This window comes from Homo sapiens, chromosome 4 (genome assembly GCF_000001405.40).
Source record: "Homo sapiens chromosome 4, GRCh38.p14 Primary Assembly".
NCBI lineage: Eukaryota > Metazoa > Chordata > Mammalia > Primates > Hominidae > Homo > Homo sapiens.
In genome coordinates this window covers 17,092,651-17,093,528 of record NC_000004.12, presented here as the reverse complement: position 1 = coordinate 17,093,528, position 878 = coordinate 17,092,651, and the positions used below count along the sequence as shown (strand labels likewise).

Sequence of the window (878 nt, the reverse complement as noted above, 5' to 3'; positions counted from 1 at the left end):
AATTGAGAGGCAGGAGCTCAGCTCCCAAATCAACCTTTCAGCTCATGAGAGCTGGGAAGCCAGAAATATAGGACATATTTAGTGAAAGGGCTGGGCATTAAAAACAAGGGGAGGGATATTCATATCTTTTCTGGTAATGGGCAGACAACTTCTGGGAACCAGAGTACTGCTTTCCTTTTTGTCTTTTTATAGTTTCTTCTGGTCAGTGTCATGGTGATTGTCAGCTGTCATGGTACTATGGGAGTGTCATTTAGCATGGAAATTAGGTTATAACAAAGTTAGAGGTTCTTCTTAGGTCAAGAGAGCTGCTGTCTTAGATCTCACAAGTCTTGACTGGTTTGGCCACGAAGGGGAACTTCTGACCACAGGCATCCTGTTTCCTAAAGGTCAGTAGAGTTAGGGCAGGGTAGAAACTCACCTATGCCCTGTAAGCTTTACACTGGTAACACTCCAACCTGAAGGGAGGATAATAATTTTAAGGACACAGACCATTTTCTTAAGTCTTTACATTCCTACTCCCTACCCGACCTTGTCCAATACACTTCCTTTCACATAGCAAGTCCTCATTAAATTTTTAGAGATGAATCAGAATGAGCCCCTTGGCCTCTTCCTGGCAGTGCTTGCCTCCTTTTCACTGTTGTTCCCCCATCCCATCCCAGTTACATGCTGATTTACTAAGCTGGGCTTGACTGTGCACTGACATTTAGTTTGTAGGTGATAGACACCCAACTCAAATTGCCCTGAGGGGAAAAAAGAGGGGAATATTTTCTCACAAAACTGAAAAGTCTAGGGAGAAAAACCATATCCAAAAGGCTAAAAATTGCCATGAGGATATAGAGTCTTTACCTCCCAAAGGTCCATTTCTTTCTGGATGAGGG

General features: G+C 43.2%; 1 annotated feature.

Annotated features, from left to right (window-relative positions):
* Positions 266-355: an enhancer, noted in NCBI's record as "active region_21348". NCBI's record gives its function as "activates an Ori minimal core promoter by ATAC-STARR-seq in GM12878 lymphoblastoid cells {active_cell/tissue: GM12878}" and the evidence as "EXISTENCE:reporter gene assay evidence [ECO:0000049][PMID:35858748]".